At 43.4% G+C, this 14,171-nt stretch overlaps 1 protein-coding gene and 1 long non-coding RNA gene across 8 annotated transcripts in view, besides 4 other annotated features; one reads left to right on the forward strand and one right to left on the reverse strand.

Moving 5' to 3' along the window:
- VAV3 (vav guanine nucleotide exchange factor 3) overlaps positions 1-1,823 on the reverse strand; it is a 394,020-nt gene extending 392,197 nt beyond the window's left edge. For 6 of the 7 annotated variants that reach the window (XR_007063680.1, XM_017000053.2, NM_006113.5 and 3 more), the window contains exon 1: positions 1,309-1,823. Coding sequence is in view for 5 of the 7 variants with exons in the window: in XM_017000053.2 (XP_016855542.1) it covers positions 1,309-1,512 (204 nt within the window). In the remaining 2 variants the exon portion in view is untranslated. Of the gene's footprint in view, positions 1-60; positions 999-1,308 lie in introns of those variants that run through there. The other variant, XM_024450319.2, reaches the window with a different exon arrangement.
- Positions 834-963: an enhancer, noted in NCBI's record as "active region_1421". NCBI's record gives its function as "activates an Ori minimal core promoter by ATAC-STARR-seq in GM12878 lymphoblastoid cells {active_cell/tissue: GM12878}" and the evidence as "EXISTENCE:reporter gene assay evidence [ECO:0000049][PMID:35858748]".
- The window catches only part of VAV3-AS1 (VAV3 antisense RNA 1), a 30,165-nt gene continuing 17,079 nt past the window's right edge, over positions 1,086-14,171 (forward strand). Inside the window, exon 1 of the long non-coding RNA NR_046653.1 lies at positions 1,086-1,147. This is a non-coding gene — a long non-coding RNA (VAV3 antisense RNA 1). The remainder of the gene's footprint in view (positions 1,148-14,171) is intronic.
- Positions 2,310-2,604: an enhancer, noted in NCBI's record as "tiled region #13935; K562 Activating non-DNase unmatched - State 20:ReprD". NCBI's record gives its function as "activates a minimal TATA promoter and a strong SV40 promoter by Sharpr-MPRA in K562 cells {active_cell/tissue: K562}" and the evidence as "EXISTENCE:reporter gene assay evidence [ECO:0000049][PMID:27701403]".
- Positions 2,310-2,609: a biological region, named in NCBI's record as "Sharpr-MPRA regulatory region 13935".
- Positions 2,540-2,609: an enhancer, noted in NCBI's record as "active region_1422". NCBI's record gives its function as "activates an Ori minimal core promoter by ATAC-STARR-seq in GM12878 lymphoblastoid cells {active_cell/tissue: GM12878}" and the evidence as "EXISTENCE:reporter gene assay evidence [ECO:0000049][PMID:35858748]".

Below are 14,171 nucleotides of genomic sequence, written 5' to 3' on the forward strand. Positions count from 1 at the left end.
GAAGGGGTACCGAGAGGTAGCAATCACCATGCATGTTTATGGGGGTATAAAATAATTTACCTCACTTTTAAATACGTATGGCTCTCCCCACTTCCATGCCTGTTCTTTCTTAGGGACTGCCCACCAGCAGGTTGAAGGCAAACAGGCAAGGAATGCAGAATCTGAAGTGCAGGGGACCCTGATGAAACACTGACACCAAGAATCACAGATGACTGTGTGTGCTCTAACTTTAAATACATACTTATTAAATCATATAAAGTCCGTTCCTTCTTAAAAGGCGCTGCTCTGGTTGCTAAGTAGCTGAGGCTCTGCGTCATAGAGGATTAGTGCTGAAATGTGTCAGGGAGAGGGCTCTGTCCTCTCCCTTTTAAGTTGAAAGCAGTTTGGTTTTTTGTTTTGTTTTAACATTCTGAAAGAGAAAGAGGCTCTGAACCGAGTTTAACATCCTTCTGTACAAAAATTTTCCGACAGGACAAATAAACTACTCTTCCACTGAACTGTGACTTTTGAGCTGACTCTAGGGTGCACCCAACCTTCCAGAGGTGTCTGGCTTAACCCTCAAAGAGGCAGCTCCAGCCCCAGGAGCCGACCGGCACCACAGCACCTGAGCAGGGCACTGCAGGAAGGAAAGCGGAATCTCTAGTGAAACTTCTCATTTCCTGTCGCTGCTGAGAGAGGCTGGACTCGCTCCTTCTCACATGGCTTAGGAAGAGCTGTAAACGGGAGCTTGCCGGCTGGCCACCAGCTCAGGGGCCCTGGGGGCGGCCTCCGGGTTCTGCTCCCTGTTCTTCCCTTTGACCAATGTCACTCCTGGACAGATAACGGGACCAAACGCCCTTCACTTCCTCGAGTCCTCATGTATGTCATGGTTCCTCTTTTAGGAAAACATGAGTACAAGACGCAAAGCAAAAGAAGAGACTAAAGGCAAATTACCCCATCACCTCGTTTCGTCCCTCCCCTTCGTTATTATAGAAGAGCTTGATCAAATTCCCTTTGTCGCGCCACACACACGCAGAGTAGGTGAAGGGCACCCTAAGACAACTTATTTCTTTCCCGCCTCACAGAAAGCCTTTACGAAATCCTCACACCATCTCCGGACGCAAAGCTTTCGCATTCAGCTTGAGGAGCTAAACCATTTCAAGCCAAGGTAGGAAACGCCAAAGTGGTGCCGAAGTGGTCCCAAAGCAGAAGGCTGGGAAGCAGGGCAAGCTCAGCGCACCTAGACGTTTGCATTTACACAAAGAAATTAGCCGCATGATTAATGGGAGCTGCCGGCTGGAGGCGGGGCGCCCGTGCCGGCCTCCTCACCTGGGACATCTGCGGCCTCAGGTTGATCTCCTTCAGGTTGATGGAGTGCGCCCGGAGGTTGTTAAGCAGCTGGCAGAGCAGGACTCCATCGCGGAGGGTCTGCGCAAGGTCGAACACCTGAGCCGAGTCCCAGGTCACCCGGTGGTTGGTGGGCAGCACCTTGCAATGGATGAGCCACTGCGCGCACTGCTTCCACGGCTCCATGCCCGACGGCTCCGGGACGCGGCTGGGCCGGGGCGGGCGGCAAGGATGCGGCCGCCGCCGCCGCCGCCGCGGTTCCTCCGCGCCCCGCCGACGCCAACAGCCGCCGGCCCTTTCCCCGCGCGGGATCGAGGGAGCAGGAGCCGCGGCTGACGGGTCGCGGGCGCCGCGCTAGGCTCGGCTCCGGTCCCGGCCCGGGTGCGCCGCGACCCGGCCGCCGCTGCAGCGAGTCCCGCGCGCTCTCCGTGCGCCCCGGCCGGCTCGGCGGCGGCTGCCGCGCACAGGCTTCCGACTCCAGCGCCCGGCCCGCCACTGAGCATGCCCAGCACGCCGGCCGGTCTCGCTGCGGTCCGCAAGTCCCCAGACGCGCGGGTGGGAGCGCGCCGGCGGCCGGGGCTGGGGTCTGTGGCCGAGGGCGGGGCGCGGGGGAGGGGCCGGCGGAGGGGGGCGGCGGCCAGAAAGGGGATCCCGCGCCCCCGCCTGCAGCCTTGCGGGGCTCACGCAGCCCCCGGCGTCCTGGGGTCTTCTCTCGGGGCGGCTTCCCGGCTTTGCGGGGAGTGTGGCTGAATACTGTAATACGATGGGGTCCCCCAGGACCCCCTAAACAACAAATGCTCAAAGGAGCGACGGATTAATTGGGGCACCCAGACTCCCCAGAGCAATGAAAAAAGTGCCTAGAGCATCAGTAGAGCACGGCGCTGAAAGTTTTAGAGATCGTCGCCCCCTCGCCCCTTGCAGCTCTATCCCCTCCATTCTCTATAGCTGATTCCTCAGCCTATTCCTCCTAGTTGCCCCTAGTGGTGTTTTGGCACCCTCAAAGTGAGTGAGAGTGCGTGTGTGGAGACGCCTGCGGAAACCGCCCCGATCCCTGAGCCTATTTCCTCGCGAGGTGATTTTCACTTGGAGCTGGTTTGCCCCTGCACTGTCAGGCTCGGAACTGTTTGCCGTTGCTGTTCTGGCCCTTTTGCTGACCCCACAAAAACCTGCTTGAGAAAGGCCTGTGCCACGGTGCTAGACTGCGCATGCGTCGGCGACTGGCGGCCGGGTTTGAGAGCAAAGCGCGTTAGCCCTGGGCAGCTCCTGCCGGGCTGTTCTGGGATCCTTAGTGAAAGTTGGAACTTGACCCCAGAACTTTTGCGCAGTGCACAAGCAGTGCATTCGTGTTTCTTAAGTAAATCTTTTGGAGACTCTAAACCCTACCCCTTTTACTCCCACTGCACACTGCCCCTCAAAACCACAATTAATGTTTAAATTATTTGTGGCAAGATATTGCCACAGTGAATTATTGCTGTTCGATAGGAATGTGGTCCTTCGTCACCCTTTTGAGATGCATTCACTTAAAATTAGAAAATAGGCCGGGCGCGGTGGCTCACGCCTGTAATCCCAGCACTTTGGGAGGCCGAGGCGGGCGGATCACGAGGTCAGGAGATCGAGACCATCCTGGCTAACACGGTGAAAACCCGTCTCTACTAAAAATACAAAAAATTGGCCGGGCGTGGTGGCACGCACCTGTAGTCCCAGCTGCTCGGGAGGCTGAGGTAGGAGAATCGCTTGAACCCATGAGGCGGAGGTTGCGGTGAGCTGAGATCCAGCCACTGCACTCCAGCCTGGACGACAGAGCCAGACTCTGTCTCAAAAAACAAACAAACAAACAAACAAAAAGATGGGAGTTTGGATAATTTAATTGTATTATATTTCTGTAGCCCAAATTTTTTATTACGAACCATGCTTTATAAGCAGGCCAAAATATTATTTTTAAAAGAATGATCTGTTCAGGATAGTGATTGCGTCCTTTTTCGTTTGGCTGTGACAAGGATAGCACACTGTTTACACTCAGCGCTGAACAATAAATCAGCCTGAGGATTTCCTTTCCTCACACGCATCCTTCCCTAGCAATTTCCTCTTGTGTTCAATGCGGATTCCATCAATAGCACGACATTTTCTAGGCCATAATTTTGGCAAATAAATCATACTAATCTCTACATACCTTTAGAAGCAAAATCCAACACATTTGAATCACCATTTAACACAGTCTTTCATAAAGAGAAATTAAAAAGAAATTTCATTAAACGGGTCAAAATTTAAACTAAAACTATGAATTTTTTTCAGGTAGCATCAGATCACCTTTGGATGTTGGAGAATATTTCCAAAATCCACATTATATACACTATCCCAGGACGCAAATCTGGATTTAGAGCCCGAGCTGTACTGCTTTCTAGCAACATGACCTTGGATAAATTCTCTACAGTTCAGTTTCCATAGATACGAAATAAGAAATTTTTTTTTTTTTTTGTGGGGGGTGGACGGAGTCTCGCTCTGTCGCTCAGGCTGGAGTGCAGTGGCGCGATCTCAGCTCACTGCAAGCTCCACTTCCCGGGTTCACGCCATTCTCCTACCTCAGCCTCCCAAGTAGCTAGGACTACAGGCGCCGGCCGCCACGCCCGGCTAATTTTTTTTGTATTTTTAGTACAGACAGGGTTTCACCGTGTTAGCCAGAATGGTCTAGATCTTCTGACCTCGTGATCCGCCCGCCTCGGCCTCCCAAAATGCTAGGATTACAGGCGTTAGCCGCCGTGCCTGGCCATAAGAAGTAATTTCTAACTAATAGGGTTGTTGTCAGGATCAAATGGTACAATGTCTTGCTATTCAAAATGCAGCCTGTGGACAGCAGCATCACCCTTGAACTTGTCAGCACTGTAGACGTTTGGCCTCTACTCTCATACTGAATGAACCAGAACCTGAATTTTAAGATCTCCATATCCCATGTATTTCCATCAAAAGCCAAGAAGCACTGATACAATGCATAGAATGTGTGGTGCCTGATAATTAGAGCTCAATAAATATTACCCAATAGTAGCCACTTTTCATTAACAAGTGGCAACAACGACCAAATATTCTATTTCACTTCTCTGTATATAATATATGACTTCAAAACATAATGCTTCTCAAATATAGTAAACCACAGAGTTGATAGAAAGGCAACAGGAAAATATATGGAAGGCCTAGAAGGGAAGGAGTTTAGTGGAGACACGGGATTCTTCACGTAAACAAGGAGCTAAGTGCCAATAGGTGACTCGTGAAAGACATTTAAGTGTCAGAAATTGGTGCAATAAAAATGCAATGGGCTTCTCACCTGAGTTATCCTTACTAAAGGAAAAAATTACAGTCTTTTCCCTTTACAATTTTTTTTTTTTTTTTTTTGAGACAGAGTCTCACTCTGTCAGCCAGGCTGGAGTGCAGCAGATCTCGACTCACTTCAACATCCGCCTCCCGGGTTCAAGCTATTCTCCGGCCTCAGCCTCCTGAGTAGCTGGGACTACAGGCACAAACCACCACACCTGGTTAATTTTTGTGGGGCTTTTTGGGAACCAGCCCTTGTCCCAACAAACCACTGACCTCGGCCTCCAGGCCTGCCCTGGCTGGTCATCAGAGCAGTAAGTGAGAGCAGGAGGCAGAGGCTGGGGAGGACAAGGGAGAGGGAGTGGGGTCCAGTGCAGGGAACAGGGCCCTGTCACCCAGGCTGGAGTGCAGTGGCACGATCTCCGCTCACTGCAACCTCCACCTGCTGGGTTCAAGCGATTCTCCTGCCTCAGCCTCCCGAGTAGCTGGGACTACAGGCATGCACCATCACACCCGGCTAATTTTTGTATTTTTAGTAGAGATGGGGGTTTCACCATGTTGGCCAGGCTGGTCTCGAACTCCTGAACTCAAGTGATCCGCCCACCTTGGTCTCTGAAAGTGCAGGGATTACAGGTGTGAGCTATCGCACTGACCTCCCTTTGCAACCTTAAAGGAAATGTTCCACCTAGTGAAGGCAAGTTGGGAAATAGGGACCAACTCATCAGTGGCAACTCCTTGCTAATCCTGGTACCTAGTGTTCTTGCGGTGTGCAAGAAGTTCTTTCTTGCATATCTGACGTGTGACTTCAGGACCCCTCCTATGGTCCTACTGCCCTTGAGTCCTTCATAGCCCCTGTAGTACATCCACACTCTACCATTTGCTGAATGCCCACTATGTGTCAAGCACTCTTCTGGGCACTTTACATGCACTGTCTGCAAGTGAGAAGATGCTCTCCCACCCATTTTAATGAAGAAGCTAGAGATCAACAGAGTTAAGCATCTTGCTCTTTATTAGGGAACTCAATAAAAGGATGAGCTTGTGTCTCCACATCTGCGCCCCTTCTGTTCAGAGCTGTGGCTCAGCATTAAAATAATTGCTGTATCAAGCTTAATTACTGGTTTAAACATCGTTCTCCCTGCTAGACTGAAACACCTTGAAGGCAAGGGTGGTAACTCATTCATCTTCAAATTCCCAGAACCAACCTTGGTGCCTGTCACATGACAAACAATAAATATTAGTTTGGTGAGTAAATAAATGAACAAGCTATGTTAACCCTCTTGCTCTCCCTCCATCCCTCTCTGCCTTTCTATCCTGTCTTTCTGGTGGTGAAAAGATCAGGAAGGATTTGCCAGCATTACTTGTAACAGGCATAAGAGTCACATGAAAAAAGATCTGCTTTTTTCTTTTTTTTTTTTTTTTTTTTTTTTTGAGCCAGAGTCTTACTCTTGTCACCTAGGCTGGAGTGCAATGGTGCGATCTTGGCTCACTGCAACCTCCGCCTCCCGGGTTCAAGCGATTCTCCTGCCTCGGCCTCCCGAATAGCTGGGATTACAGGCGCCCACCATCATACCTGGCTAATTTTTGTACTTTTAGTAGAGACAGGGTTTCTCTATGTTGGCCAGGCTGGTCTCAAACTCCTGACCTCAGGTGATCCGCCCACAAGAGTCTACCAAAATGCTGGGATGACAGGCGTGAGCCACCGCGCCTGGCCTGCTTTTTTTGTGTGTGTCTCGCTAGTCTTTCCGTGCCCTCCAAGATGAGCAGGCTGCCCTCTGTTTCTCTTTTGTATCACAGTGTTGTTTGGATCTTGCTTCAGCCCTACACTGTATGAAAACAGGAAATGGGATAAGTGGCATCCTGAACTGCAGGAAAGACAAGGATGACAGATGATGGATATCACATACTAGGTCCCTTGCCATGTTCAAAATTATATCCTACATCGTAGGACATTCTACATCAGGCCAAATGTACCAAAAAACTGAAGTAAAGGATCTGAAAGCCACATTAATTCATTGCCTGCTCCATCTGTATTGTCTCTCCACTCCTTACTGACTTTTTTTCTTATTATTCTTCCAACTCTTAATGTTTTTGTTTGTTTGTTTGTTTGAGATGGGGTCTCACTCTGTTGCCCAGGCTGGAGTGCAGTGGCACAATCTCACCTCACTGCAACCTCCACCTCCCGGGTTCAAGTGATTTCTCCTGCCTCAGCTTCCCCAGTAGCCGGGATTATGGGCACACTCCTGGTTAATTTTTGTATTTTTAGTAGAGACAGGGTTTTACCATATTGGCCAGGCTGGTCTTGAACTCCTGACCTCAGGTGATCCACCCGCCCTGGCCTCCCAAAGTGCTGGGATTACAGGCGTGAGCCACTGCGCCCGGCCTTTGTCTTTATTCCTCATTGTATTTCTTTTTTTATGTTATAAGAGAAGTAAATCATGGATGGTACATAACCTATTGAAGATAAATCAGTTTCTGAAAGAATTGAAGATGCAGAAATACAAATATTGTAAACAGCAAACTGAAATCCAGACTGTTTGCTGGATTAATTTCCTTCAACTACAATCAAATGTAGTTTGGTTTCACATACACATTAGGGATGTGGGCTTTACATTTCTGGTAATTTGATACTGTCTTTAAAGTAAATACCAGAAAAACACTGGGGAGATAGAATGAGGGTAGAGTAAGATTTCTATAATAACTGTTCCTTTAATAAATGTGCCCAAATCAGTGTGAATTTAAAGATTTTGGAATTAGGTACAAATGAGCAGGGTCTTGTTAGGATCACAGGATTTCTTTTCTCTTCTGACATGTTCAAGTCCTTGATTATAATAATAAAGGTAACAAAAACAATGACAATAACCCATACTCTAAATGGTGCTTACCATCTAACAGAAGAAATTTACTTGAGGTAATTTATGACACATAAAGCTTCCAATTCAGGAGGCCAGGGATGGTGGATCACCTGAAGTCAGGAGTTCAAGACCAGCCTGACCAACATGGCGAAAACCCACCTCTACTAAAGATACAAAAAATTAGCCAGGCGTGGTGGCAGGCGCCTGTAGTCCCAGCTACTCGGGAGGCTGAGGCAGGAGAATCACTTGAACCCAGGAGGCAGAGGTTGCAGTGAGCCGAGATTGTGCCATAGCACTCCAGCCTGGGCAACAAGAGCAAAACTCCATCAAAAAAAAAAGCTTCCAAAGAAGCAGCTTTAAAAGGAGGATTAGAACATGACTGTAAGTCTATGTGTTACAAGGGATGGATTAATAAAAGACCAATTAACTAACCAATGTCCAAATAAATGAAATAATGAAATAAATGGAAATACAAGTGTTCTTCCCACTCTGTGAGTATATACCCCACCAACACACACAGAAAATGAGGCTCCAAAGATTTACCTCACTGAGTTAATTGCACTTCAGCTGGGTCTTTTCAAAGTCTGGTTCACATTAAACATTCTGCAGCTCTCAAGCCATGATTAGACATTAGTCCATTTTCAGAACATTAGTGGTGATACACATATATGTTATGTTTTAAAGATAACTAAGGAGGTTAAATTTACAGGGAAAAGCTAAATAGCTCTGTGTATTCCTGTCAACAACTAAGGACCTTAATCTAATTTGTAGAATATTTAAATCCATTTGCATGTTGGTATGAAGAAATTGCCAGGGAGAAAGTTCTTTATACAGAGATTGTGAATTTTAAAATCCAATGCAAAGAAACTTTTGTGGGAAGTCCTTGATGTCCCTTTTTCCATATAATCCTGTGTATATCACAATCGTTTTACTAAGTTCTTTGCAGAATAATTATCTCTTTAAGTGTCTGAGACCCCAACTACCACCAACCTCCTTTCACCCCAACCCTGACTATCTTTGAGGTCCTTGGAAACAGAGATTGTACCTTATTCATGTCATTACTCCAATGCCTGGCACTTAGTAGAGGATAGATGGATAACTGGATGGATGAAGAGGTGGGTGGATGAATAAATTAGGTGAAGAGGGATGTAAACCATGTCATTATAGTAGTGATGAGAGAGGAGAAAATTTCACTTACCATTTTGGCATGTCACTCAGATTTATTCCTGCCACCAACAATGTCCTTGGAAAAATAAAGTGATACAGAAGGACAGATTGGGTTTACCCATGTAGAGAATGCAGGAGTACTAGAAAGCACCCTGCCTCCATCCACATTCAAAACCAAAAAAAAAAAGTCCTTGATTTATGTTTAACAATTAAAATTCATTATAGAACAATTAGAAACTCTCCCTGGAAAATGCAATATATTTAAATTCATACCTCATGCCTGAGATCAGATAATAACAGCAGCAACAGCTATTTGTTGATGATATTATGAGCACTGACAACTAGCTATTGAGCTACCTACTTCATATGTATGGTTTTATTTGATTCTCATAACCTCTCTGAGGTGTTACTATTATTGACCTCATTTTGTAGATGAGGAAACCGACTCTAAGCAAGCTCAACTATCTTTCCTAAATTCAAATAGCCAATAAGTAGCAAAGCTAGCATTGGACCTGGAACATCCTGATGCCAAGATTCACACATTTAACCATGATGTCATTCTGCCTCTCTGGAGATTTAAGACAGAGGGATCCCTAAGAGCAGATGCCAACAAGATGGCTTTATACACAGCCAACTTTAAATGTTCCACACCCTGCAGAAAGTCATTAACAAAACATAATTTTACATTTTATTTACATGAGTGAAACTTCCCCCCATTCCTATTCAAATAGCAAGAAAAGAATCAAGATTTGTTTGGTAAAGCAATTTTAATTTATTTTTAATTCTTAAAATGTTCCAGTTTTAAATGTTTCTAAATTTCTTTAAGCATTCCATTTAATCTTTTCTAATGTAACCGTTTTGTTTTATTTTGCTGTGTTTTGTTTCATTTTGTTTCAGACTGACATAAGGTTGTGAAATGCTGTGCTTTAGAAAACCTGTGGGTATCTTTTTTGATCATCAGAATCATAACAGTGTAGAAGTGATTCAAAAAAGCTTGACCAGCTTTTCTGGGAAAGGACAGGACAAAGCTAAAAAGCACTAAAATGGAAACCTAATGTGCCATATTAATCTCACACACATGCACACGTAGACACTTACACAATTATATATTTTTGCAGACTATGCTCCATTTTGCAATCTTGGCATTAGGTTACCTGTAAAATCATAAACTGGTTTCTATTGCACACACAAATGGAAAAAGGAAGACTCACTGGCCACACCAAGAGTGCTCATCTGGTCAGGATGAAAACACAGTAGCTTTTTCTGCTTCATTGTTTGTTTTGACACTGGCTACAACGTTTCATCTGTTCTTTCAGAAATTTCCTAGATTTAGGGAATAACTCATATGTTCGGCTAGCTTTGTTTCTCCTTTTGCTGACATTTCTCAGGGGCTAATTTCTTAGGCTATTTAAATCAGAATATATCATTGGGGTGTAAGAAAGAAAGAGATAAGTCTAAAGAGGATATCTCTGAGAGAACAATAATCATTCAGATTATTTTAAAGAGAGAATAGGATGAAATTGGTAGGCCTGAAGAAAATAGGAAAATTTACATATATATATGTAAATGTCCAATCTGCCCTAACCTATAAAATCTGATTTACCTACCTCATTTAATAAATATTAATTTTGCACTTTCTAAAGAACAAAAACACTCTTCTAAATTTTATGTGGGGTTATAGGGTGAGAGTAAAACAGTGTCCCTAAACTAAATCCCTGTGAAAATGTATTTAACACTTAAAGATGAGAGTAGGAAAGATGGCACGAAGAAGGCACTCTATATCTTTCTGTGTGGAAGTGTTTAGTGTAAACTTCTTATGGCACTTGAGACAATGAAACTTATGAACCAGCACTGAGCTGGAGGGATTGCTGGACAGGCAGAACACAGAAGGTCCACTGTAGTCTTAGAAGGGCATCTAGCTAAATGAAAACTGTCATCTTCTAGAATCCTAATATGTCCATATTCTTGTTCCTTTCATTCTGTCTACTTAATCACTCTAAGTGCCAGGAACCAGGAATAATTTCTGGGGTGGCTCCAGGCACAAAAATGTTAACAGTGATGCAATTTGATAAATCAAAACGAGTTGAAGGCATTAGTTGAAAACTCTAAAATGTTCTAAGGAACTCAAACAACTCAATAACAATAAAACAAATAACAGATTTCAAACGAGCCAAGGATCTACATAGGCATTTCTCCAAAGAGAACATATAAATGACCAACAGGGTATGAAAGAAATGCTCAATACACTAATTGCCAAGGAAATGGAATTAAAACCACCTGTTAGAATGGCTATTATAAAAAAGACAAAAGATAAGTGTTGGTGAGGATGTGGTAAAAAGGGAACCCTGGTAGATTGTTGGTGGGTATATAAATTAGCACAGCCGTTATGGAAAATGGTGTGGAGGTTCCTCAAAAATTTAAAAATAGAACTACCATATGATCCAGTATTCCCACTTCTGGAAATGATACCATTATGTCAAGAGATACCTGCACTTCCATGTTCATTGCAGCATTATTCACAATAGCCAAGATATAAAATCAATCTAGTTCAACAATGGATGAATGGATTTTAAAATGTACTATAATAATAATGGAATACTATTCAGCCTTTAAAAAGAAGGAAATCCTATCATTTGCAACAACATGGATAAACCTGGAGGCCATTATGCTAAGTGAAAGAGGTTGGGCATAGAAAGACAAATACTGCCTGATCTCATTGCATGTGGAATCTAAAAATGTTGAATTCACAGGGACAGAGTAGAATGGTTGTTGCCAGGGGCTGAGGCAGGGTGGGAGCAGGAATGGGGAGATGTTGGCCAAAGGGTACAAAGTGACAGTGTAACAGAATGAATAAGTTTTGGAGATCTATGGTATAGTATGGTGATTATAGTTAATAATAATGTATTGCATACTTGAAAATTGCTATAAGAGTAGATCCTAAATGTTCTCACCACACACAAAAAATATGTAAGATGATGGATGTATTAATTCACTTGACTTAATCAGAAGTAATCTCCCAAGTGGTTCAGCTGTCTCACAATACAATGGGAGAGGGACTGCCAGAAGCCACTGGGAAAGACGGATGATCAATACTCACAGTGCAAGGGTTGTAGCCTCGCAGTCTATCTTGATCACACTTATGAGGAATTGAGTTACAGCTGTCAAAGTGAATGAGAGTTTGCTGTTGGCCAGCTATCAATTCCTTTCATTTTGATCTCTTATGTGGAAGTGTCTGGGAAGATGCAGCCACTGGCTGAGATTTCTTCTTAAGGCGGCTCCCTGGGATCTGGATGTGTCCCCAACACCTCCATTGGAACCACAGTTTACTTTTTAGTAAAAGTGAGAAGGAGACAGACATTGCTATCACAGGGCCTGTGGGTCTCTGATGCTGAACTGAGGGTAATTAGAAAGGTCTTTTCTTTGCTACTACATCCAGTTTGAACATTTTATGGTAGATATGTACCTAATAATTGCTTTTCTAATGCTCATTACATATTTCATATTCAGACATTAAAAGCTTAGTTCTTTACTAATGTCTTGTGAAGTATATATTGAATGTGGCAATAGTTTCATTACAGATTAAAAACAGTTATAATTTCTAAATAGCCAGAAACTAGTATCAGTAAACACCCATATATATTATTTAAAATAATTTAATTATTTTTGAAGTCAGCTTTAACTACCACTTTTCGCTTCTCTGCATTTAAGGATACAGGCAATATTTTACTGTTTGGAAAAACCAATCCAAGATATGAGTTTTAAGATACTGTCTGTGTCTGATCTATCTTTTCCTTCAGATTCTCTACCCAAAATTTCTTCACAATATTCCTATACTCTTCAGATAAACTAGAAAAAAATCTAAACCTTGAATTCTGCTTTTCAAAGAGGTCTGTCAGGAATGAGCTAAGCAATGGTCAATTTACAACAGGATTAAAAACTAAATTGGCATCTCATTCAAGTTGCACACTGTGGCAAATTTGAGCAGCTGTTTAATACATGTTGCCAGTGGACTCAGTTCTACATCAGTCATGCTAATATAAGTCTTGCTATTCTCCATAGCTACAAAATATTGCTCTAACCTAAGCCATGTCTGTAGCCAATGCATACTATGGGTAGTTGGGACGGCTCAGCTAGGCTAGGACAGCTCCCCCGGCCCACTCCTGTCAACCCCGGTGACTCCTGCAAGCCCAAGTAAAAGACTTCGTCCTCAGGTAGGCCTATCCTGATGAGTGATAACTTTGTGCTGGCTTCACCACCACCAGCAGCCACCCATGCCCACCTGTGTTATTTTCAACCTTACCTTATTTGTATTGGTCTTAAAAGGGATCCCTTGGAAATACAGTGTCTAATTCATCTGAGAATTCCCAAGAGCTCACTAAGTATTTATTGAATGAATGAACAAATGAATGAATGGTGTCAGACCTATTACTATGGTCAATGCTACCTCCAATTTTAAGCTACATAAAGTAGCTTAATTTATTAAGTAGCGTTATTTCCAGCATTCTTGTGCTTATTTAACCTTCTGCTGTCTAGATTTTACCTTATTGGAACAGTTTTCTCTGACAGTGTGAAGAAGAGTAAAAGAAGGATCCCACGAGGACTAAACTGTGGATGGGGGCGGGGGTGGAGGTTGAAGCAAGGGACAGATATAACTCAGAATGGTATGATTCATTCAACTGAAAACAAAATCATTTCAAAATTCTAAAGAAAATGAAGTGCAATTGTAGTGTTAAATCTATTTAGTTATTCATAAGCAATTACTATAAACAAATATTTATGTGGCTTAAAACAAAAATATATCTACTAGAAGTCTAAGAATTCCTTTTTCAATAATCCTAAATTACACTTTGCTTAGAAGAGGTGTGTTTTGTTTACTTTTCAGAGTGATTTTCTCCACAATGCCTGAACTATACATGATTTGTGTGAGCGGGATAAGCCCTTCCAGCTGTTCAAAATTAGCTTAGTCACCAGTCTAGTGAGACCATCCATGAAATACCCTAGTTGTTGGCAATTTGTTACCTCTGAGCTCTTTAAATTAAATAGCATTGCGGTTCATTCCGAGAAAGGGTCAAATCACTTAGCAGACCATGAAAAAGAGAGGATGTGTCACTACTACTCTTAATCAAATTCTTTCACTTCTTTTATTCTTTTTCATTCTTGGCTGTGGTTGTCTAAATTCATCTTCAGGGATAAATGGTCACTAGTTATTTATCAAAGCATGAGTCTTTTCTGCAGGGATCAGACTTCTGCTATTTTAAACATGCATTAGACTTCAGATTATGAGCCAGGAACTGAACTACATGTTTTATACATCTTATTTCTTTTACATTAGATTTGTAGGGTAGATACGATGTCTCAATTTTACAGGTTAGGAAAAAGGTTCAGAGAGGTAGACAACGTTTATAACACTGTAGCTATAAAAACAAGATTCCTGAAACCTTACCTCAAAGCACTAAATCAGAATTTACAGGAGATATCTAGGAATCTATTAAACCCTAATTTCTGTGTTTTTAACTAGTGCTC

Source organism: Homo sapiens, chromosome 1 (genome assembly GCF_000001405.40).
Source record: "Homo sapiens chromosome 1, GRCh38.p14 Primary Assembly".
Classification (NCBI taxonomy): Eukaryota; Metazoa; Chordata; class Mammalia; order Primates; family Hominidae; genus Homo; species Homo sapiens.